At 44.6% G+C, this 24,821-nt stretch overlaps 2 protein-coding genes and 1 non-coding gene across 3 annotated transcripts, besides 4 other annotated features; 2 read left to right on the forward strand and 1 right to left on the reverse strand.

Annotated features, from left to right (window-relative positions):
* Positions 2,308 to 11,860: a non allelic homologous recombination region, noted in NCBI's record as "int22h-2 recombination region, recombines with the int22h-1 and int22h-3 recombination regions". NCBI's record gives the evidence for it as "EXISTENCE:polymerase chain reaction evidence [ECO:0000082][PMID:9694739]" and "EXISTENCE:restriction fragment detection evidence [ECO:0001124][PMID:8275087, PMID:8528212, PMID:7981669]".
* Positions 5,490 to 9,869: a meiotic recombination region, noted in NCBI's record as "meiotic double-strand break mapped by DNA meiotic recombinase 1 chromatin immunoprecipitation followed by single-stranded DNA enrichment and sequencing in the germ cells of some male individuals with PRDM9 A/A, PRDM9 A/B and PRDM9 A/C genotypes". NCBI's record gives the evidence for it as "EXISTENCE:chromatin immunoprecipitation-seq evidence [ECO:0000229][PMID:25395542]".
* On the forward strand, positions 6,507 to 7,097 carry H2AB2 (H2A.B variant histone 2). The gene has a single exon (NM_001017991.3). It carries the CDS (start codon positions 6,585 to 6,587, stop codon positions 6,930 to 6,932), a length of 348 nt encoding a protein of 115 aa, NP_001017991.1. The 5' UTR covers positions 6,507 to 6,584; the 3' UTR covers positions 6,933 to 7,097.
* Positions 7,808 to 7,820: a nucleotide motif, noted in NCBI's record as "nucleotide motif; similarity to the predicted 13-mer PRDM9 A binding motif (LD hotspot motif), CCNCCNTNNCCNC".
* On the forward strand, positions 7,893 to 9,599 carry F8A2 (coagulation factor VIII associated 2). Its single transcript, NM_001007523.2, has one exon. It carries the CDS (start codon positions 7,913 to 7,915, stop codon positions 9,026 to 9,028), a length of 1,116 nt encoding a protein of 371 aa, NP_001007524.1. The 5' UTR covers positions 7,893 to 7,912; the 3' UTR covers positions 9,029 to 9,599.
* Positions 8,898 to 8,996, reverse strand: MIR1184-2 (microRNA 1184-2). Its single transcript, NR_036259.1, has one exon. It is a non-coding gene; the product is annotated as a microRNA 1184-2 (primary transcript).
* Positions 8,974 to 8,986: a nucleotide motif, noted in NCBI's record as "nucleotide motif; similarity to the predicted 13-mer PRDM9 A binding motif (LD hotspot motif), CCNCCNTNNCCNC".

Below are 24,821 nucleotides of genomic sequence, written 5' to 3' on the forward strand. Positions count from 1 at the left end.
AAGCTGAGGGAAGCAGAAAGTGCTGGGGAGATTGCAGGGAGGGAGGAAGTGCTTGGGAAAGTAAACCCATGAAGCTGTGTATGAGCTTCTGGGCTTACCCCACAAGGTGTGTATGTACAGATGTGATCCTGTACGACATACAAAGGACTTTGAGAACTGCACTGAGTAAGGGATATAGACCTCGCCAGCTCCAAGACTGCTGATCATGCTTAACAGAACCAAATACCATTGCAAAGGCTTTGAAATGGAACTAACAATAAAACCCCCGGTCAGAACATGTGGCCTGAGCCTAAGTGACTGGGGGAAAAATGAGTGGAGACTTGGGGATCTGTGGGAATATGACAAAAGAGCTACCTTTTGTGTCATCATAGTGACAGAAGGAAAGGAGGAAGGGGGTGGGACTGAAAAAGTATTCAAATAAATAATGGCTGGAAGATTCTAAATACGGCAAAAGACACATGCCTGTACATTTAAGAAGCTGAGTGAACCCCAAACAGAATAATCTTAAAGAAACCTACACCAAGAAGCATCACAGTCAAACTTCTGAAAACTAAGGACCTAGGAAAAAAGTCCCAAAAGCAGAGAGAGAGAGAAAGGAAACCTTACCTATACGGGAAAAGGAATTAGAATGGCAATATATTTCTCATTAGAAACCATGGAGGCCAGAGGAAGTGGCATAACACTTCTCAAGTGGCGAAACAAAAGAACCAGAACCCTGTCTACAAAGTGAAATTACCTTCAGGAATGCAGGGGAAATCAAGACATTCGCAGAAGAAGGAAAAGTAAGAGAGATTGTTGCCATCAGACCTACCCTTACCTCTACGCTTAGAGAAGCTTCCTGCATGAGATTCCACTAGGCATGTAAAATGCCTTGGCTGAGCATGACCTGCTCACCAATTCTCTCTAATGTGGACATTTATCATGCTGCCCAGTATTGGGAAGATATGTCTTAGAATTTCTCACGAGCTCCTAGTACAAGTCTGGTCTAGTTTCTGCCTCCAGCCCCTCCACTGAAATTGCTCTTGCCAAGGCCCCCAGCAACACTTGCATTGCTTAACTCAGTGAACAGGTTTTAATGCTTATCATTTTGGAACTCAGCAAGTGTTTCTGAGTTTGTCCCTTCTTCTTCAGTTCCTCTGGCTTCCTTCTGCACCTTTGCTCTCATCTCTTTCTGGCTTGATTATCTTTTAGCGTGCCCCCCCACCCCGCACCAACTTTATCTGTGGAGACACTCCTCTAGTCTTCTTCCAATGATGTTCCTCTTTTGCTTGCCCCTTAAAAGAAGTTGTCCTTGGTCCCCTTATATATTCTATGTGCTCTCCCTGAATGGTCTCAACTACATTCATGGCTTCAAGAACTACCCTGATGAGTCGCAAATCTGTATTTTCAGTATTGACTTCACTCCTGAACTCCTAAGCCAAATCTCCTTCATCTCCATCTGGATATCCCACAGGCATTTCAAATTTCACACGCTCAAGACTGAACTCATCTTCCTACCCATACGCAGACCTCCTCCTTCATCCCATTTGTCCAGGAATGACTCCAAAGTCTGTGGTCACCTCACTCTATCCCTGTGGAGTCATGCTAGAGCTTTTTCACTTCCCCATCGCCACTCCCCTCCCCTGCCAACCAATGCCCCGCTTTTCCAATTGGCTAACTTGTACTCGTTCTTCAAGCTTCATATTGGACACCATTTCTCCAGGAACATTTCCCCAACCCCAAACGTCTGTGTAAAGTACTCCTCTTATGTGTTCCTACAGCACTTTCTTAGTCCATCTGTGTTGCTATAAAGGAATACCTGAGGCTGGGTAATTTATAAAGAAAAGAGGTTTATTTGGCTCATGATTCTGCAGGCTGTACAGGAAACATGGTGCTGGCATCTGCTTGGTTTCTGGTGAGGGTCTCAGGCTGCTTCCACTCATGGCATAAGGTGAAGGGGAGCCGGCAAGTGCAGAGATCACATGATGAGAGAGGAATCAAGGTGGGGTGGGGGGGAGGTGCTACACTCTTTTTTAACAACCAGCTCTTGTGGGAATGAATCAAGTGAGAACTCACTCATTACTGCGAGGCTGGCACCAAGCCATTCATGAAGGATCCACCCCATGACTCAAACACCTTCCATTAGACCCCACCTTCCAACACTGGGTATCAAATTTCCACATGAGATTTGGAGGGGTCAAACAAACCAAACTATAACCAGCACCTTGAACTTCCCCTCTCATAGCACTTATCACAGTATAGTGTTGTCATTGTCTGGCTCCTTGTCTGTATGTTCCGCCAGACTGCATGCAGGGATCTGATCTATATTTCTCGTTGGTGTTGTCTCAATGCTTAACACAGTATACCTGGCACTACCCTTCAATATTTTTTGAAGAATGAGCACATGAATTATCATGTCTCCAGCTAGGTTCGCCAGTATGAGTAATATGTAGTGAGTGTCTACTGTGTGCCATTTTACTACCTAAACTTTTTATGGACTCTGTCCCCTAGTCTTATCTACCAATGCCATTGTCTTAGTTGAGATATCTGTCATTTCTTGACTGGTATAATACAGCAGCTTTCTAATTCCAATCTCAGTCCTCTCTGTTCTATTCTCCACACACAATCCTCTCTGTTCTATTCTCCACACAGCTTCCAGGGTGATATTTCTAGAGGCAAATCAGACCACGTCACTCCCAAGCTGAAAGACCACAGTGGGTTCAGTGTAGCCTACAGGGTATTCTAAAACCTGAGCATGGCATAATAGAACCTCCATGTCTTGGCTCCTGCCTACCTCTTTCCCAGCCACATCAACCACTACTGCTCCACTGGCATCGTACTCTCCAGCCTTAATGAATTGGTTGCAACTCCCCTCCTCCCACCGGTGCCTTGGCTTCTCATCATGCTACAGATTCTTTAACACACACATTGTCCTCCAAGAAGCTTGCCAGATCCACTCCTATTCTTTCAACGAAATGTTTATTGACCACTCTTTATACACTATGACCAAATAGGATTTATCCCACAAATGTAAGGTTGGTTCAACATGTGAAAATCAGTGTATATAATACACCATATTAATGGTTGGTTCAACATGTGAAAATCAATTTATATAATACACCATATTAACAGAATGCATGGCGGAGCGGGGGCGGGGGAGGGGGCTCATGGTCATCTTAATCATGTACAAAAAGGATCATTTGACAAAACGCAGTACCCTTTCATGAAAATAAATTCAACAAACCAGGAACAGAAAGAAACTTCTTCAACCTGATAGAGGGCATCCATGAAAAACCCAGAGATAATATCATACTTAATGGTGAAAGACTGGTTGATTTCCCCCTAAGATCAGGAATGCCACTTGTAACTCAACATTGTACTCAAAGTTCTAGTCAGGGCAATTAGTCAAGAAAAAGAAATAAAAGGCATCCAGATCGGAAAGGAACAAGTAAAACCATCTCTATTCATAGATGCATAGATGGCATGTTCTTATATAGAGGACACTAAAGAGTCCAACAAAAGAAAAAAAAAAAACTGAGACGGTTTGGCTCTGTGTCCCCACCCAAATCTCATGTCGAATTGTAATCCCCACCTGTTGAAGGAAGGGCCTAGTGGGAGGTGATTGAATCATGGGGGCGGACTTCCCCCTTGCTATTCTTCTGATAGAGCGCTCACAAGATCTGATGATTGTTTGAAAATGTGCAGCGCTTCCCCCTTTGCGTGCGTTCTCTCTCTCTTCCTCCTGCTCCAACATGTGAAGAAGGTGCTTGCTTCCCCTTCGCCTTCCGCCATGATTGCACGTTTCCTGAGGCCTGCCCAGAAGCAGAAGCCTTGTACAGCCTGCAGAACCATGAGGCAATTAAACCTCTTTTCTTTAGGAATTACCCATTCTCAGGCAGTTCTTTATAGCAGTGTAGGAACGGACTAATATGCCAACCCTGTCTGAGTATGCTCAGCAAAGCATATTCGGCTCAGCAAAGTTGCAGTATCCAAGATCAATCTGCAACAGTCGGTTGTATTTCTACACCCTAGCAATGAATAACATGAAAATAAGATTAAGGAAATGATTCATTTTACAGTAGCATCGAAACAATAAAATGTCGAGGAATAAATTTAACTAAAGGTGTACAAGATGTATACTCTGAAAATTTCAAGACGTTGCTAAAATAAATTAAAGAAGACCTAAATAAATCGAAAGGCATTTTGTGTTAACGGATTGGGACACTTAATATTGTTAAGATGCCCATAATCTCCAAGGCAATATACAGATTCATCGTGATGCCTGTCAGAATCCAACCTGCCTTCTTTGTAAAAACTGACAAGCTGATCCTAAAATTCATAAGAAAATGTAAGGGGCTCAGATAGCCAAAACAATCTCAGAAAAGAAAAAAGTTGAAGGACTCACACTTCCCAATTTCAAAACGTACTACAAAACCGCAGTAATCCGAAAAGGGTGGTACTGCCATCGTGATCGATACATTAGGTCAATGTTACAGAACTCAGAGTCAGGAATAAACCCATATATTTATGTAAAGTTTATTTTCAGTAAGAGTTCCGGCACCCCTCAATGGGTGGAGGGGAAGAATAATCCCCTCAACAAACTGCGCTGGGACAACTGGATAGCCACATGCAAAAGAAGGCCCCTGGACCCCTACCTCACATCATGTAAAGAATTAATTCAAAATGGATCACAGATCTAAATGTAAGGGCTGAAACTATAAAACTCTAAGAAGAAAACGGAGATGTAACTTTGCACGACCTTGGATTAGGCAACAGCTCCTTCAGTATGACACCAAAGGCAAAGCCACAGATATCTTTTCATTTGGCAAGTTGGACTACATCCAAATGTAAATCTTTTGGGCAACAAAGGGCTCTATCCAGAAAGTGAATGGGAGAAACATTTGCAAGTCACATATCTGATAAGAGTCTATTTTCCAGAATATATGAATAAGTTTTAGAAGCCCACAGCCAAAATACAATCAACCGAATTAAAAAATGGGCAAAGGGCTTGAATAGACATTCCTCCAAAGCAGAGGTACAGAGGGCCAAGAAGCACATGAAAAGATGTCTTAGTCTGTTTTCTGTTGCCATAATTGAATACCCGACACTGAACAATTTATAAAGAAAAGAAATTTATTTCTTACCGTTCTGGGGACTGGGAAGTGACCCGGCATCTGGGGACGGCAGAGGGTATCACACGGCGAGAGGGCAAGAGCGTGTATGTCGTTTCAGGCCTCTCTTCCTATTCTTATAAAGCCACCAGTCGCATCCTGGGGGTCTCACCCCGATGACCTTATCTAATCCTAATTACCGTCTCAGAGGCTGCGCCTCCAATCAACATGTGAATTTGGGGATTAAGTTTCCAAGACACACAATTTGGGGGATGCACTCAAACCACAGCAACATCATTAGCCATTTGGGAAATACGAATGAAAACCACCATGAGATAGCACTTGACACCCAGTAGGATGGCTACTGTAAACAAAACAAAATGAGGCAAACAGAAAACAGGTTTTGATGAGGCTGTGAAGAAATTGGGACTCTCATGCACTACTGTTGGGAATGCGAAAGATTACAGCTGCTGTGGAAATCAGTTTGGTGGTTCCTCAATAAGTTAAACAGAATTACCACACGAGCCAGCAGTTTGACTGCTAGAAATAGACCCAAAAGAACTGAAAAGAGATATTCAAAGAAAAACCTGTAGAGAGATGGTCATGGCAGTGCCACTCACAATAGCCAGAAGGGGGAAATAACCTGTCCATCAACTGACGAGTGGGTAAACAAAATGTGGCCTCCTATTCATACAACAGAATCGTACTCAGTCATTCAAAGGAAGGAAGTAGTGATTCATGCCTCTACATGGATGCACCCTGATGAAACCATTACGCTAAGTGAAAGCAGCCAGACACACACGGCCTCACATTTGGTCGTATAATTCCATCTATAGGAAATCTCCAGAACAGGCTAACCTCTATGGACAGAAAGCAGATGGACTAGGGGTTGCCAGGGACTATCGGGAACGTGTGTATGGGCGGGGGCAGGGGGTGTGTGTGGGAGGGTGTGGGGGCTGGTAGTGGTGGTGTGGAAGGAGGCGTGCGGCAAGTGACTGCTTATAGGTACAGGGGTTTCGGTTTCTTTTCGGGGTGTTGAAAACGTTTTGGAACTAGGTGGTCGTGATGGATGTGCAACATTGTGAAGGCGTGGTACCCGTCCTCCCCTCGCCCACCCCTTTGTCTTTCCCACGGTGTTCCCATCCAGTAGAAAGGGAAAGTTCCCACTGGCAAAGAGAGGGTCACCAGCGCGATTCCCCCTGCCCCGCCCCACCCCACCCCCACGGCCCTCCAGCCACTTCTAGGCCCAGGCCTGCTCCCTCGAGGCCAATGGGAAAGTGATGAGGTCACCTGACGGACGTGTGTCCCTTGTGAGGGGCCGTCACCACATGCGTGCCCGTCGCCGGATGTGCGTGCCCATTGGTCTCGGCTCCCTAGCCAATGAGGGGCTGGGCCCTGGTCGCTAGGATACACAGTACTGGACGCGGTAACTGTCCTCTTGAGAGCCATCTTGCCTAGCTGGGCCAAGCCGAGATAGCACACTCAACGCCCAGCATGCCGAGGAGGAGGAGACGCCGAGGGTCCTCCGGTGCTGGCGGCCGGGGGCGGACCTGCTCTCGCACCGTCCGAGCGGAGCTTTCGTTTTCAGTGAGCCAGGTGGAGCGCAGTCTACGGGAGGGCCACTACGCTCAGCGCCTGAGTCGCACGGCGCCGGTCTACCTCGCTGCGGTTATTGAGTACCTGACGGCCAAGGTCCTGGAGCTGGCGGGCAACGAGGCCCAGAACAGCGGAGAGCGGAACATCACTCCCCTGCTGCTGGACATGGTGGTTCACAACGACAGGCTACTGAGCACCCTTTTCAACACGACCACCATCTCTCAAGTGGCCCCTGGCGAGGACTAGCTTCTGACACCCGGCCCCTGGGACCTGACAGGTCCACTCGTCCACCCACCCGGCCCCAAATCCCCCGGCCTGAACCCCCGGCCTTAAACACCCTCCCCCCACAACCCAGGCCCCAAAGTCTTGGGCCTTCATTAATTCTGTCAATAAAATGTTTCAAGGAAGCCATCTGCCCGCTTCAGTCACTTTGCCTTGGGGTGGGGGTGGGGGGGCGGTGAGATGGGTTGGGGGGTTGTGAGACCTCCACAGCTGGAGGGATGGAGAGGTGGTGGGGGTCTGGGGTTGGGTGGGAGCCAGGGATGGCACAGAGGAGCCGTCTCTCCGGGTGACAGTGCAGGGGAGTGGCCCTGGGTGGGAAGGGGACACCCCCGCTGGTTCTGAGCAAGTCAGGGCCTGCCCGGGAAAGTCCTCAGCATGATGGTGTTCGTTGGGGCGGGTGGGCCTCAAGACCATGACTGCAGTGTTGCGACAGGACGGACTTCTAAGGCAACCGGGGTGGGGACGGAGAGGTGGACCCGGTGCTTGGCAAGGGGCCCTGGACCGGAAGACGGAGGACTGAGTAGTCGGGGCGGGGGGGGGGGGGGGGGACAACAGTCCAGAAATGCGCAGACATGGAATTAGGGTCACGAGTTTCCTTTGGGTCATGTTCAGATGGAGAGGCTGTGGGATGCCTTTAGCAACCTAGACCACTTGCATTGCAGCCGAGCTAGCAGCAGCTGGTGCCCCGCCAGGCCCCGCGTACCTTCCCAGGGTCTTGGATCCGCATCCCCGAGACCCTCGATTTGCATACGCCGCTCACAGCCCGGCCAGGCCCCGCCTCCGATCCCGCTCTTTGCACCTCACCAGGGCAAGGGGCAGGCTCGGGCTGGGGAGCCGGCGCGGGCACGGCGGCAGCCCGCCGAGGGGGACGCAGGGCACGTCGCCCCGCCCCGGCCCGCCCGCCAGCTGCGGCGGCGCGTCGGGAAGTGCTTGGGGCGGCGAGCATGGCGGCAGCGGCTGCAGGCCTGGGCGGCGGCGGCGCCGGCCCGGGACCCGAGGCCGGGGACTTCCTGGCCCGCTACCGGCTGGTATCGAACAAGCTGAAGAAGCGGTTCCTGCGGAAGCCGAACGTGGCGGAGGCCGGCGAGCAGTTCGGACAGCTGGGCCGGGAGCTGCGCGCCCAGGAGTGTCTGCCCTACGCGGCCTGGTGCCAGCTGGCGGTGGCGCGCTGCCAGCAGGCGCTCTTCCACGGGCCCGGGGAGGCGCTGGCCCTCACCGAGGCCGCCCGCCTCTTCCTGCGGCAGGAGCGCGACGCGCGCCAGCGCCTGGTCTGCCCCGCCGCCTACGGGGAGCCGCTGCAGGCCGCCGCCAGCGCCCTGGGCGCCGCGGTGCGTCTGCACCTCGAGCTGGGCCAGCCGGCCGCCGCCGCCGCCCTCTGCCTCGAGCTGGCCGCCGCCCTGCGCGACCTGGGCCAGCCGGCCGCCGCCGCCGGTCACTTCCAGCGCGCCGCCCAGCTCCAGCTGCCCCAGCTGCCCCTGGCCGCGCTGCAGGCGCTTGGCGAGGCCGCCTCCTGCCAGCTGCTGGCGCGCGACTACACCGGCGCCCTGGCGGTCTTCACGCGCATGCAGCGCCTGGCGCGGGAGCACGGCAGCCACCCGGTGCAGTCACTGCCGCCGCCCCCGCCGCCGGCACCCCAGCCCGGGCCCGGGGCGACGCCCGCCCTACCGGCCGCGCTGCTTCCTCCGAACTCCGGCTCGGCGGCGCCCTCTCCCGCCGCCCTGGGCGCCTTCTCGGACGTGCTGGTCCGCTGCGAGGTGTCCCGCGTGCTGCTGCTGCTCCTCCTGCAACCACCGCCCGCCAAGCTGCTGCCGGAGCACGCCCAGACCCTGGAGAAGTACTCCTGGGAGGCTTTTGACAGCCACGGGCAGGAGAGCAGCGGCCAGCTTCCCGAGGAGCTCTTTCTGCTGCTCCAGTCTTTGGTCATGGCTACCCACGAAAAGGACACGGAAGCCATCAAGTCGCTGCAGGTGGAGATGTGGCCACTGTTGACTGCTGAGCAGAACCACCTCCTTCACCTCGTTCTGCAAGAAACCATCTCCCCCTCAGGACAGGGAGTCTGATCCATCCCATTCACCCAGTGACTTCTTTTTGCCCAGGCCGGGACTTTTTGCATCAGTCACGTTAACCAGATGACTTTGCCTGTTACCAAACCTCATGCATCCACGTTTGCGTCTGGGGAGGAATAAAAAGACATCGTTCCCGCTTCTGCGTTTTGTTATTCCTACTGCCGCCATAGGAATTATTTCGTTGGCTGAACGTTACCAGCACCCCGAGAACACATTTTGATAGAATCAGAGTAGAGGACATGGCTGTCTTCTAAAAAGCCACGACATGAAAATGACAATCCCTTTCGTCTCCTTCCTCCGCTGCTTCCACCCAACGCAGCCTCCTGCCTCCGCCTTTGTTTCATAGTGAGGATTTTATTTTGCACGGCGCCCTCCCTCTAAATACCTACCCTAGATGATTTCATCCTGCCCCTCACTTCTTAACATATTCCTGTGTCTTTGTAATGGCCAAATTTCTCCTTCCACTCGTCCGCACGGTACGTCTTCATGGGAGTCATTTTATTCCTTACAGCTTCCTTGTAACCACAGCCCTAAATCCATGATAAAGCTACTCTTGTACTCCTCATGTGTGGTTTTGGTGTCCGTCGTCTATAAAATGTGACTCTCTTACCTACTTGTCAGGAGGCCAGCAGCAGAACCAGATAGCTGTTTGGGCTCCAGGATGTATTCGTTCCTTTGAAATTTGCGCTATGCCTCCTATGTGGGCAACGAACCTGCAGAGATCATCTATGATGTGCTCCGTACTCGGGTGACTGCAATGCAGATACATCCAGTGCAGCGGGTCTGGTGCCGATGCATCGATTTGCATTGGAATTCACGGTTCTGGTTCCATTCGCAGAGGTATATGCAGTCTGGATCACAACAGCTTTTATTTGTAATAGGGATTTTTTTTTTTTTTTTCCCCCCCCGAGATGGAGTCTCACTCTGTCGCCCAGGCAGGAGCGCAGTGGCGTGATCTCGGCTCACTGCAACCTCCGCCTCCTGGGTTCAAGCGATTCTCCTACCTCAACCTCCAGGGTGCCTGGGATTACAGGCGTGCACCACCACGCTGGGCTAATTTTTGTATTTTTAATAGAGATGGGGTCTCACCATGTTGGCCAAGCTGGTCTCCAACTCCTGACCTCAAATGATCCACCCTCCTCGGCCTCCCAAAGTGCTGGGATTACAGGCATGAGCCACCACGCCTGGCCTGTAATAGGGATTTTGCTGCAACTTTTAGTTAAGTAGGTGAAATCAGAGTGCGTGGCCCTTTGGTGTTGTGCGATCACGTGACTGCAAGGCAGCCTCCGTGTTCCCCCAAAGCAGGATGGCGTTCCGTTTGAGAACACTTAAGTTTCCAAGGCTTTCTGCCTCAAATGGAGCATGCCCCCCAACTACGCTGTTTTCTTATTTATTGCGTCTTTTTAATCCTTTTGATGGTGACAACAAGAACTCTTCAGAATATAGCCTCTTTCTCAAACTTTCAACCCTGGGGAAATGCATCCTTTGGGCCGAAGTTGCACACAATCCTGATCTTCGGGGCTGAGATGTAAGGACACAGTTTGGAGTAGGTGTTTTTGTTTTGCGTCTTTTTGCAGGGGAGAGGTGTGGAGGGTTGTCACTGTGAGTTGAGTGCCTCCAAATGGGTGGGACTTGTAGGGTGTTCTTTTCTGCTTCTATTTCTATTTCGACAGTGTGGAAGTAATGGGAAGCACAGGAGAGGCCCATTCCACCATCATTCCTCTTTCTCTCACTTGGCTGCCAGGAAGGGTCCTACGGAGCCCTGAACGCCTAGCCCAAATTATTGTAAAAGCGGTTGAAGGGCTCATGCTCTTTTGCTCTTTGGCTCTTTCCTGGTATGCTCCTCTTAACCCGGGCTGCAGACCTGGCCGGCTGGCTTCTTGTCAGGTTCAGGAGTTACGGAGCATGACTGGTGACCAGTTTGGGATTTGGGCTTCAGGAGAAGCCTCCTTAGGCCTCTGGTCCAAACTCCTTGCGTCAGGGAGGTGAGGGGAAGGATAACCAGACGGTCAGGTAGTGGGTATCTGAGCATAATTCTAGGAAACACTAAAACTCCTCGTTTTCCATTTGCCGTGGGCTCATTCATGTATCTCCCTCAGAAGCTTAAGAGCAGTGATAACTGGGCCGAGGCCAGATTTCAGCAGTTTTGAGAATTCCCTCGTAATGTATCACATCAGTATCAAAAGTCAACACTGATTTCTAGCATGCCAAAAGCAAATACTTTCAGAGGACATGATTAGTTTGCTTTTTAACTTGAAAACAATTCCAAATTCACACTTAAAACAGTGTAAACCGTCGGAAATGGTGGCAGCGAAGCAGTGAACCCTTAAAGGCTGTTGGGGTTCCCCTTCTCCCCATTGTGAGGTACTCCCAAAAGGATAAATGTTGCTTATGAAAGAATATTTTATACGTGAATAGTACAAAGACAAAGACGTTTGAGAACCGCTACGCCGGAGGAAGGTGGTCAAGACTGAAATTAGCGTGTTAGGCAAGATCTGGTTCCTAGGTGCTGAGGATTCTGGTGCCAAGGATTAATGTTAACCGTGCAGGCATCTCTACCACCGTTAGAGGAGACCAGCAGCCCACAGACTCTTTCTGTCAAGGGCGGGATAGAAATGTGTTAGTCTTTACAGACCACAGGTGGTCTCTGTTGCACAGTCTTCTTTGTTTCTTTGTATGTTTGTCTTTGCAATCCTTTCAACGTGTAAAAACTATTCTTAACTCACAGTCCGTACAAAAGCAGGCTATGGGCCAAATTCTGGGGCTATAGTTTGCCCACCCCTGAATTAGAACCCAGGACATAGTAGTTGCTCAATAACTGTTTAATTTTTTTTTATTTCAATAACTTTTGGCTTACAAGTGCTTTTTGGTTAAATGGATGAATTATATAGTGGTAAATTCTGAGATTTTAGTGCACCCATCACCCGAGTAGTGTACATTGTACCCAATATGTAGTTTTCTTATCCCACACCCTCACACTCTTCCCCCTTGTGTGTCTCCAAAGTCCATTATATCACTCTGTATGTCTTTGCATTCTCATAGCTTAGCTCCCACTTACAGGTGAGAACACAGGGTAATTTGGTCTTCCATTCCTGAGTTACTTCACTTAGAATAATGGCCTCCAGCTCCATCCAAGTTGCTGCAAATGACATTATTCTGTTTCTCTTTATGGCTGAGTAGTTCTCCACGGTGTGTACATACCACATTTTCTATATCTACTCATTGGTTGATTGGTGCTTCGGTTCGTTCTATATCTTTGCATTTGTGAATTGTGCTGAAATAAACATATGTGTGCATTTGTGTTTTTCATATAATGACTTCTTCTCCTTTGGGCAGATACCCAGTAGTGGGATTGCTGGATCGCGTGGTAGATCTACTTTTAGTTCTTTAAGGAATCTCCATACTGTTTCCCATAGAGGTTATACATTCCCACCTAGCAGTGTATGCACCGTCCCTTTTCACCACATCCACGCCAACGTCTATTGCTTTTTGACTTTTTAATAATGGCCATTCTTGCAGGAGTAAGGTGGTATCTTATTGTGGTTTTAATGTGCATTTCCCTGATGATTAGTGATGTTGAGTATTTTTTCATATATTTTGTGGCTATTTGTATATCTTTTGACCAATGTTTATTCATGTTATTTGCTATTTGATGGGATTATTTTTATTTTTTTCTTGCTGATTTGTTGCATTCGTTGTAGATTCTATATACTAGTCCTTTGTTGGCTGCATAATTTGCAAATATTTTCTCCCATTCTGTGGGTTATCTGTTTACTCTGATGATTATTTCTTTTGCTGTGCATAGTGTTTTAGTTTAATTAGGTCCCATTTATTTTTTTTTCTGTTTCATTTGCTTTTGGGGTTTTAGTCATGAATTCTTTCTCTAGACCAATATCCAGAGACGTTTTTCAAGGTTATCTTTTAGAATTTGTATGGTTTCAGGTCTTAAATTTAAGTCTTTGTTCCATATTGAGTTGATTTTTGTATAAGGTGAAAAATAGGGATCCAGTTTCATTCTTCTACATGTGGCTAGCCAGTTTTCCTAGCACCATGTATTAAATAGAGTGTCCTTTCTCCAATTTATGTTTTTGTATGCTTTTTTTAGGATTAGTTGGTTGTTAAGTATTTGGCTTTATTTCTGGGTTCTCTATTCTGTCCCATTGTTCTATGTGCCCACTTTTATACCAGTTCCATACTGTTTTAGTAACTATAGCCTTGTATTATAAATTGAAGTCCAGTAATGTCATGCCTCCATATTTTTCTTTTAAATTATGATTGCTCTGGCTATTTGGGCTCTTTTTGGTTCCATATGAATTTTAAGATTGTTTTTTCTAAATCTTTGAAAAACAATGTTAGCATTTTGATGGGAAATGCATTGAATCTGTAGATTCCTTTGGGCAGTATGGTCATTTTCACAATATTGATTCTTCAAATCCATGAGCATAGGATGTGTTTCCATTTGTTTGTGTCATCTATGATTTGTTTCACCAGTGTTTTGTAATTCTCCTGGTAGAGATTTTTCACCTCTTTGGTTAAGTATATTCCTCGGTATTAAATTTTTTGCAGCTGTTGTAAAAGAGATTGCGTTTTTAATTTGATTTTCAGCTTGGTAATTGTTGGTGTATAGTAGTGTTACCAATTTGTGTACATTGACTTTGTAACCTGAGACTTTACTGAACTTGTTTATCAAATCTACGTGTCTTTTGGAGAAGTCTTCTAGGTATATGACCATATCATTAACAAACAGTGATAATTTGACTTTTTCTTTTTAAATTTGGATGGCCTTTATTTCTTTCTCTTGCTTGATTGCTCTGGGTAGGATTTCCAGTACTATGTTGAATAGAAGTGGTGAAAGTGGGCGTCCTTATCTTGTTCCAGTTCTCAGGGGGCATGCTTTCACCTTTTCCTATTCAGTTTGATATTGGCTGTGGGTTTGTCATATATAGCTTTTTTTTTTTAGACAAATCCCTTCTATGCCTATTTTGCTGGGGGGTTTTATCATAAAGCGATGCTGGATTTCATCAAATGCTTTTTGTGCATCTATTGAGATGATCATATGGTTTTTGTTTTTAATCCTGTTTATGTTGTGTATCACATTTATTGACTTGTGTATGTTAAACCTTCCCTGCATCCTTGGGATGAAACCCAGTTGATCATGGTGTATTGTATTTTTGATGTGCTGTTGGATTTGTTTACCTAGTATTTTGTTGAGGATTTTTCCATCTATGTTCATCAGGGATATTGGTCTGTAATTTTCTTTTGTTGTTATGTTCTTTCCTGGTTTTGGTATTAGAATGATACTGGCTTCATAGAATAATTTAGGGAGGATCCCCTTTCTCTATCTTTTGCAATAGGTTCAGTGGGATTGGTACCAGTTCTTCTTTGAATGTCTGGTAAAATTCAGCTGTGAATCTATCTGGACCTGAGCATTTTTGGTTGGCAATATTTTTTTTATTACTGATTCAGTCTTTCTGCTTGTGATTGGTCTGTTCAGGGTTTCTCTGTATTCCTTATTTTGAGACAGAGTTTCACTCTTGTTGCCTAGGCTGGAGTGCAATGGCAGGATCTCAGCTCACTGCAACCTCCACCTCCCAGGTTCAATCAATTCTCCTGCCTCAGCCTCCCAAGTAGCTGGGATTACAGGCACCTGCCACCATGCCTCATTAATTTTTTTGTATTTTTAGTAGAGATGGGGTTTCACCATGTTGGCCAGGCTGGTCTTGAACTCCTGACCTCAGGTGATCTGCCTGCCTCGGCCTCCCAAAGTGCTGGGATTACAGGCATGAGCCACTGCTCCCATCCAGCTTCCAGTTTAATGGAATCGTTGTTGTGTCTCCTGATGGCAGCATTCCTCCCTCTGGGGCTAAGACTTCTAGGCCAGCAGAATGTAATGTTGCGGGAACAGGAAGCAAAAATTTTGCTTCACTAGGGGTGATGGTGAGTGGTGCTACTTCCACTTCCACCCCTTGATTCCTGGACCCGTGAATCCTGGCTATGGGAGAAACAGTACCATATATTGGACGCTGATTGAGAGCATACATGGCCTTCTGGAGAACTTTGCCCCAGCCCTGCAAAGTATTGTCACCTAGTTGATGTTGTAATTGTAACTTCAAAAGGCCATTCCACCATTCTATCAATCCAGCTTCTTCAGGATGATGGGGAACGTGGTAAGACCAGTGAATTCCATGAGCATGAGCCCATTGCTACACTTCTTTAGCTGTAAAGTGAGTGCCTTGGTCAGAGACAATGCTGTGTGGAATACCGTGACGGTGGATAAGGCATTCCGTGAGTCCTCAGATGGTAGTCTTGGCAGAAGCATTGTGTGCCGGATAGGCAAACCCATATCCAGAGTAAGTGTCCATTCCAGTGAGGACAAACCTCTGCCCCTTCCATGATGGAAGAGGTCCAATATAATCAACCTGCCACCAGATAGCTCGCTGATCACCCCAAAGAATGGTGCCATATTGAGGGCTCAGCGCTGGTCTCTGCTGCTGGAAAATTGGGCACTCAGCAGTGGCCGTGGCCAGGTCAGCCTTGATAAGTGGAAGTCCATGTTGCTGAAACCATGTGTAACCTCCATCCCTGGCACCATGGCCACTTTGTTTGTGGGCCCACTGGGCGATGACGGGTGGCTGGGGAAAGAGGCTGAGGGGCGTCCACAGAACGGGTCATCCTATCCACTTGATTATTAAAATCCTCCTTTGCTGAGGTTACCCATTGGTGAGCACTCACATTGGATGCAAATATCTTCATAGCTTTTGACCACTCAGAGAGGTCCATCCATATGCCGCCTCCCCAAATTTCTTTGTCACCAATTTTCCAATTATGCTTCTTCCAAGACCCTGACCATCCAGCCAAACCATTGGCTACAGTCCATGAATCGGTATATAATCGTACTTCAGGCCACTTCTCCTTTCATGAAAAGTGCACAACCAGGTATACTGCTCAAAGTTATGCCCACTGGGAAGATTTCCCTTCACCACTGTCCTTCAGGGATGTCCTAGAAAGGGGCTGTAGTGCTATAGCTGTCCACTTTTGGGTGGTGCCAGCATATTGTGCAGAACCATCTGTGAACCAAGGCCTAGTCTTCTCTTCCTCTATCAACTGCTCATAGGGAACTCCCCATGAGGCCATAGGTGCAAGGTTGGGGGAGAGAAGGCAGGGTGGCAGGAGTAGAGACCGTGGACATTTGAACCATTTCCTTATGTAACTTACTTGTGCCTTCAGGACTTGCTTGAGCCCGATTGCATATATACCACTTCCATTTGATGATGGAATGCTGCTGTGCATGACCCACTTCATGGCTAGATGGGTCAGAAAGCACCCAGTTCATGACAGGCAGTTCAGGCGGTATGGTGACTTGGTGACCCATAGTCAAACATTCAGTTTCCACCAAAGCCCAGTAACAGGCCAAGAGCTGTCTCAAAAGGAGAGTAGTTATCTGCAGAAGATGACAGGGCCTTGCTCCAAAATCCTAGCGGCCTCTGCTGTGATTCACCTATGGGGGCCTGCCAAAGGCTTCAGACAGCAACCCTATCTGCCACTGACACCTCAAGCACCATTGGATCTGCTGGGTCATATGGTCCAAGTGACAAAGCATCTTGCACAGCAGCCTGGACCTGTTGCAGAGCCTTCTCCTGTTCTGGACCCCACTAAAAACTGGCAGCCTTTTGGGTCACTCGATAAATGGGCCAGAGTAACACACTTGAATGAGGAATGTGTTGCCTCCAAAATCCAAATAGGCCCACTGTTAGATCTGACATACAGCAATTACAGGACTCTTCAAAGATACAGGTGCTGCACTCACAAATCTATTTCTCAAGGCATTGGTCAAGGTTATATCTTTTGGACCCTCCAAGCTGGGATGAGTAGGTCTAAATTAACTAATTCACTCCACTATCCCAATCTCCCTAAGCCTTTGGATCCCTTCCTCTACATTAAACCAAGGGAGAGCAGGCATTTCAGCTCGCTCAAGTGGGCTATCTTTTAATCCATATTTCAGGTAACCAAGCAAATAAACTATTAGAACCTTATTTAACTACCCGAGCTGCAACATTAAATGCAGAGTCCCTACTTAGTGCGCCCAAATCAATAAATCCAGCCTGATCCAACTCTATGTTCCTTCCACCATTATCCCACACCCTTAATATCCATTCCCATGCCTGTTCTCCAGATTTCTGTTCATATAAATTAGAAAAGTCAAGCAGTTCTTTTTGAGTGTAGTGTTCCTCCTCATGGGTCACACTCTCAACCTCACCTCTAGAGGCCCACTGTGACTTTAGTCTAGTTATAGGTCTAGAAGCAAACAGGGGTATTAGGGTTGGCTCCTAAGGAGAATCAACATTATCTTGCCTGGCAACTGCCTCAGGGGAGGCCATCACTGTTGCCTCAGGCAGCACAGGGTTTATCTCTTCAGGCGAAGGTGGAAAGGCTGATGGCAGCATGGGTTAGGGAGAGGATGTTGCCACTACTGGGGATGGGGAAGCTGTTTCTTCTGGCAAAAAAGGTTCATCAGAGTTTACATACTCTGTGTCCCCAGCTTCATCAGGGTCCTCCCACATGTCCCCATTCCAAGTTGCAGGGTCCCATTCTTTTCCAATCAATGCCCTCACTTTAACAGTAGATGCCTGGTGAGGCTGTGCATGCACCTTTGGTTGCAGGTCAGCCACTCACGTGATAAGAGCCTGTGTCTGTTTTTCCACAATTTCAGCTCTTTCTCTACAAGAGATAACACTCTCACTCAGGGCAATCTCAGCAGATTTGAGGCTCAGTATCTGTTTCTGAAGCCAGGAGATAAAATCCATGAGTTCATTTTCTTTCATCACGTTGTCCGCTGAACTTAGGAGCAACCAACCGGCTTCATTATATTCCTTGGTCCCCCATATAAGGTCAAAGATATGATGTATAGAGTCACTAAATTCCTTGCCTCTCACAAACGGTGAATCAGGAGTGTTAAATGCATTTATTTTGCATAACTCTCTAAACAGTCTATGACAAGGACTATCAGTGTTCTCCATACTATTAGAAGTAGATTCCTTAGCATTTTTGAGTCTAATCGTATTAAGCAGCCAACTCCAGAAACCCCAAAACCAATGAAAGAACTCCATCCTTAATATTCTCTTCCTCTAGAACCACTCCTGGTACCAAAATCTGTCAGGGTTCTCTAGAGGGACAGAACTAATTATATATACAATTAGTTTATTAAGTATTAACTCACACAATCACAGTGTCCCACAATAGGCTGTCTGCAAGCGGAGGAGCAAGGAGAGCCAGTCTCAGTCCCGAAACTGAAGAACTTGGAGTCCAATGTTCGAGGGCAGGAAGCATCCAGCATGGGAGAAAGCTGTAGGCTGGGAGGCTAGGCCATTCTCATTTTTTTTTTCACATTTTTCTGCCTGCTTTATATTCTAGCCATGCTGGCAGCTGATAGATGGTGCCCACCCAGATTAAGGGTGGGTCTGCCTTTCCCAGACCACTGACTCAAATGTTAATCTCCTTTGGCAACACCCACACAGACACACCCAGGATCAATACTTTGCATCCTTCAATCCAATCAAGTGGACAATCAGTATTAACCATCACATAGGCTAACTAAAAAATGAGAGAATACTCAAATAAATGAAATCAGAAATGAAAGAGGAGACATTACAACTAATCACACAGAAATACAAAGGATCATAAGAGACTATTAGAAACAATTATATTTCAACAAATTGGATAATCTAGAAAAAAATGGATAAATTCTTAGAAACATATAACCAACCAAGATTGAATCATGAAGAAGTTGGAAATCTGAATGTACCAATAATGAATTAAGAAATTGAGTCACTAATCACTAGTCTCCCATCAAAGAAAACCCCAGGACCAGATAGCTTCACCCTGAATTCTACCAAACATTTAAAGATTAGCTAATAGCAATTTTTCTCAAACTCTTCCAAAAAAATCAAAGAGGAAGGAATATGTTCAAACCCATTTTCTAAGGCCAGCATCACCCTGATACCAAAACCTATCAGAGACACAACAAAAAAACAAAACTTCAGGTGACACAACAAAAAAACAGAACTTTGGTGAACATCGATGCAAAAATCCTCAACAAAATACTTTAAACCAAATCCAGCAACACATCAAGAAGTTAATCCATCAAGTAGGCTTTATCCTTGGGATGCAAGGTTAATTCAACATATACAAATCAACAAATGTGATTCATCACATAAACAGAACTAAAGACAAAAACCACATGATTATCTCAATAGATGCAGAAAAGGCTTTTCATAAAATTCAACACCCTTTATGTTAAAAAGAAACAATAAACTAGGTATTGAAGGAAAATATCTCAAAATAATATCCATCTATGACAAACCCACAGCCAACATTATACTGAATGGGCAAAAGCTGAAAACATTCCCCTTGAGAAACTGGCAGAAGACAAGGATGCCCTCTCTCACCACTCCTATTCACATAGTATTGAAAGTCCTGGCCAGAGCAATCAGGCAGGAGAAAGAAAGAAAGAAATAAAATTGGAAGAGAGGAAGTCAAACTATCCCTGTTGGTAGACGACATGGTTCTATATCTAGAAAACCTCATAGTCTCAGCCCCAAAGCTCCTTCAGGTGATAACTTCAGCAAAGTATCAGGATTCAAAATCAAAGTACAAAAATCCCTAGCATTCCTATATACTAACAGCAGCCAAGCCAAGAGCAAAATCAGGAATACAAACCCATTCACAGTTGCCACAAAAAGAATAAAATACCTAGGGATACAGCTAACTAGGGAGGTGAAAAGAGTTCTACAATGAGAATTACAAAACACTGCTCAAAGAAATCAGAGATGACACAAACAAAACATTGAAAAACATTCCATGCTCATAGATAAGAGGAATCAATATCATTAAAATGGCCATACTGCTCAAAACAATTTATAAATTCAATGCTATTCTTATCAAACTACCAATGACATTCTCCACAGAACTAGAAAAAACTGTTTTAAAATTCACATGGAATAAAAAAGGAGCCCAAATAGCCAAGGCAATCCTAAGCAAAAATAACAAAGCTAGAGGCATCAGGTGACCTGACTTCAAACTATACTGTAGGGCTACAGTAACCAAAACAGCATGGTACTGGTACAAAAACAGACACATAGACAAATGGAACAGAATAGAGAGCCCAGAAATAAGGTCACACACCTACAATCATCTGATCTTTGACAAACCTGACAAAAACAAGCAATGGGGAAAGGATTTCCTATTCAATAAATGGTGTTAAGATAACTGGCTAACCATATGCAAAAGATTGAAACTGAACCCCTTCCTTGCATCATACACAAAAAATAACTCAAGATGGATTAAAGACATAAATGTAAAACCCCAAACTATGAAAACCCTGGAAGACAACCTAGGCAATATCATCCTGGACGTAGGAACTGGCAAGATTTCATGATGAAGACAGCCAAAGCAATGGTGAAAAAAAAGCAGAAAATTGACAAATGGGATCTAATTAAACTAAAGAGCTTCTGCACAGCAAAAGAAACTATCAACAGAGTAAACAGACAACTTAAAGAATGGGAGAAAATATTTGTAAACTATGCATCTGACAAAGGTCTAATATCCAACATCTATAAGGAACTTAAGCAGATTTACAAGAAAAAAAAGGCCATAATAAAGAGGGCAAAGGACATGAATGGACACTTTTCAAAAGATGATATATGCAGGGAGCCGAAGGCCCCGTGGGACGTGACCAACTCAGCATTCCACTGGAGGCTATATGATCAAACAGCAAACTGTTTATGATGAATGCAGGATGTGGGCAAACTCACGACTGCTCCCGCTGCCAGAAGGTTTGCTGAGGGCAATCGCTTCCTGGCACGAGCTCCTTGAGGTTATCTACTGGGACATCTAGAGAATGCAGTCTTGCAAGCCTACTCTGGACTGAGCAGCTGACTCCTTCCTTCCATCCCCCCTTCTCACTATCTCTTTTGCCTAATAAATACAGAGGGCTATGTAAAGCTCAGGGCCCTTGTCCACTAGAGGCAAGGTGCCCCCTGACCCCTTCTTCCAAAAATACTCTTTTGTTTTTGTCTTTTATTCCTGCATTTGCCCTCTTTGTTCAGTCCCCCTAGTTCTGTGCAGGTTACAGACATACATGCAGCCAACAAGCATATTTTAAAAAGCTCAATATCACTGATCATTAGAGAAATGCAAATCAAAACCATAATGAGATATAATACCATCTCACCCCAGTAAGAATGGCTATAATTTAAAAGTCAAAAAATACCAGATGCTGGTGAGGTTGCAGAGAAAAGGGAACCCTTATACACTATTGGTGAGAGTGTAAATTACTTCAACCATTGTGGAAAACAGTGTGGCGATTCTTCAAAGGGCTAAAAACAAAACTACCATTCAACCCAGCAATCCTAGTACTGGGTATATACCCAAAGGAATATAAATCACTCTACCCTAAAGACACAGGCATGTGTATATTCATTTCAGCACTATTCACAATAGCAAAGACAGGAAATCAATCTAAATGCCCATCAATGGCAGATTGGATAAAAAAAATGTGGTACTTATCCACCATGGAATACTATGCAGTCATAAAAAAGAACGAGAGCATGTCCTTTGCAGGAACATGGATAGAGTTGGAGGCCATTATCCTTAGTAAACTAATGCAGAAACACAAAACAAAATACTGCTTATTCTCATGTATGAGAGCAAAATGATGGAAAGGCATGGACACAAAGAGGGGAACAACAGACACTGGGACCCACTTGAAAGTGGAGGGTGGGAGGAGGGAGAGCATCAGAAAAAATAACTACTAGGTACTAGGCTTAGTATCTGAGTTACAAAATAATCTGTACAACAAACCTCTGTGACATGAGTTTGCCTACATAGCAAACAGGCACATGTATCTCTGAACCTAAAATAAGTTATTTAAAAACAGAAAAGAAGACTGCAGGACAATATAACTGATGAACATAGGTGCAAAAATCCTAAACAAAATACTACCAAACCATATTTACCGGTACATTAAAAGGATTTTTCACCATGATCAAGTGGGATTTATTCCTGGGATGTAAGGTTGGTTCAATATATGCAAATCAATAAATGTGATTCACCACATTAATAGAATAAAGGACAAAAAGCACAGGATCATGTCAATAAATGCAGCAAAATCATTTCATAAAATTCAACATTTTTTATGATTAAAAACTCTCCACAAATAAAATGAATGTTTCTCAACACAATAAAGGCCAGCCATGTATAAGAAGCCCACAGCTAAAATTATACTAAATGGCAAAAAGTTAAAGGCTCTTTCTCTAAGATCAGGAACAAGACAAGAATGCTTATTCTCACCACTTCTGTTCAACATTGTACTGGAAGTCCTAGCCATAGCAATTAGACAAGAGAAAGAAATAAAAGTCATGAAAATACAAAAGGATAAAGTGAAACTGTCCGTGTTTGTTAATTTCTTCTTCTTCTTCTTCTTCTTCTTCTTCTTCTTCTTCTTCTTATTATTATTATTATTATTATTATTATTTTGAGATGGAGTCTCACTCTGTCACCCAGGCTGGAGTGCAGTGGTGCAATCTCACCTCACTGCAACCTCCACCTCCCAGGTTCAAGCGATTCTCCTGCCTCAGCCTCCAGAGTAGCTGGTACTACAGGCATGTGTCACCACGCCCAGCTAATTCCTTTTTTGTATTTTTAGTAGAGACAGGGTTTCACCATGTTGACCAGGATGGTCTGTATCTCTTGACCTCATGATCCGCCCACCTTGGCCTCCCAGTGTGCTGGGATTACAGGCATAAGCCACCGCGCCCAGCCTACATAATATTATATATAGAAAACCCTGCAGACTGTGCCAGAAAACTATTAGAATTGATAAGGAAGTTCAATGAAGTTCCTGATACAAAATCAACTTACAAAATTCAGTAGCATTTCTATACACTAAAAACAAACTATCTGAAAAAGAAATTAAGAAAACAATCTCATTTACAATAGCAAAAAGTAATACATGAGTAAATTTAACCAAGGAAGTTAAATATCTGTATACCAAAAATGATAAAATATTTATGAAAGAAATTAAAGATGACATAAGTGGAAAGATATCCTGTGTTCACGGAGTGAAATAATTACTACTGTTAAAATCTCCATACTACCCAAAATGACTTACAGATTCAATGCAATCCTTATCAAAATTCCAAGTCATTCTTCATAGAAATAGAAAAAGAAACTAAAATTTTTATGGAACCAAAAATGACACCTAACGGCTAAAGCAATCTTTACCAAAAAGAATAAAGCTAGAGGCATCCCACTATCAAATTTCAAAATACATTACAAATCTATAGTAATCAAAGCAGCATGGTACTGGCACAAAAACAGACACATCAACCAATAGAATAGAATACAGAGCCCAGAAATAAACTCACACAAGTATGGTCAATTGATTTTTGACAAAGGTGCCAAGAACACACATTGGAGAAAGGACAGTCCCTTCAGTAAATGGTGTTGGGAAATCTAGACATCAGAAGAATATTAAAAATATATTTTTATATTTATAATGGTGTTGGGAAATCTAGATATCAGAAGAATATTAAAAATATATAAGGAACTCAAACTACTTGGTAACAAGGAAACAAATAACCCTATTAAAAATGGGCAAAGTACCTGAACAGACATTTCTCAAAAGAAAGCATACAAATGGCCAATAGATACATGAAAACATGCTCAACATCTATAATCATCAGCAAAAATTCAAGTTAAAACCACTATGCGATATCACCTCACACCTGTTATTTTGGCTATTTTCAAAGAGACGAAAGATAATAAATGTTGGTGAGGATGTAGAGAAAAGGGAACACTTATACATTCTTGGTAGTATTATAAATTAGTACACCTATTTTGGAAAACAATATGGAGATTCCTTGAAAAATTCAAAATAGAACTACCATATGATCCAGCAATCCCACTAGTGGATATATAGCCAAAGGAAATAATACTGAAGAGATGTCTGCACTCCCATGTTCATTGCAGCACTATCACAATAGCCAAGATATGAAATAAACCTGTTTCCATCAACAGATGTAATGGATTTTTAAAATGTGGTGTGTGTATACATACACACACACACACACACACGCACACACACACATATAGCTATATACACACACATGCACACAATGTAATATTATTCAACCTTAACAGAAATTTTTGCCATTTGCAACAACACAGATAAACTTAGAGGACATTATGCTAAGTGAAATAAACCAGGCACAGAGAGACAAATATTACATTATCTGACTTATATGTGCAATCTAAAAAAGTCAAATTTATAGAAGTAAAGAGTAGAATGGTAGTTGCCAGGGGCTGGAGTAGGGGAGTGGACAGGGAAAGGGGAGACATTGTTCAACAGGTACAAAGTTTCAGTTACATAGAAGAAATAAGTTCTGGTGATCTATTGCACAGCACAGTAACTATAGTTGATAATAATGTATTGTATATTTTGAAATAGCTACAAGGGAGGATTTTAAATGTTCTCACCACTAAAAATGCTGATTATTATGAATTTATCATTCTACATTGTATACATGCATAAAATATGTTGTACCCCATAAATATATATAATTATTATTTGTCAATTAAAAACAGACTACCTACTGAACTGTGCACTTTAGTTATTTTTGTTATATAAATTTACTTCAATTAAGAATTAAAATTAAAAATTTTTAAATGAAGGAGAAATTTTAAAAGTGAATCAAATAATTTGGTACCCAATATATCCTTTCATGGTGTA

Source organism: Homo sapiens, chromosome X (assembly GCF_000001405.40).
Source record: "Homo sapiens chromosome X, GRCh38.p14 Primary Assembly".
Lineage (NCBI taxonomy): Eukaryota > Metazoa > Chordata > Mammalia > Primates > Hominidae > Homo > Homo sapiens.

Bases quoted from the DNA above. Each gene is read 5' to 3' on its own strand.
- H2AB2 (NM_001017991.3), top strand. From the start codon at position 6,585: ATGCCGAGGAGGAGGAGACGCCGAGGGTCCTCCGGTGCTGGCGGCCGG.
- F8A2 (NM_001007523.2), top strand. From the start codon at position 7,913: ATGGCGGCAGCGGCTGCAGGCCTGGGCGGCGGCGGCGCCGGCCCGGGA.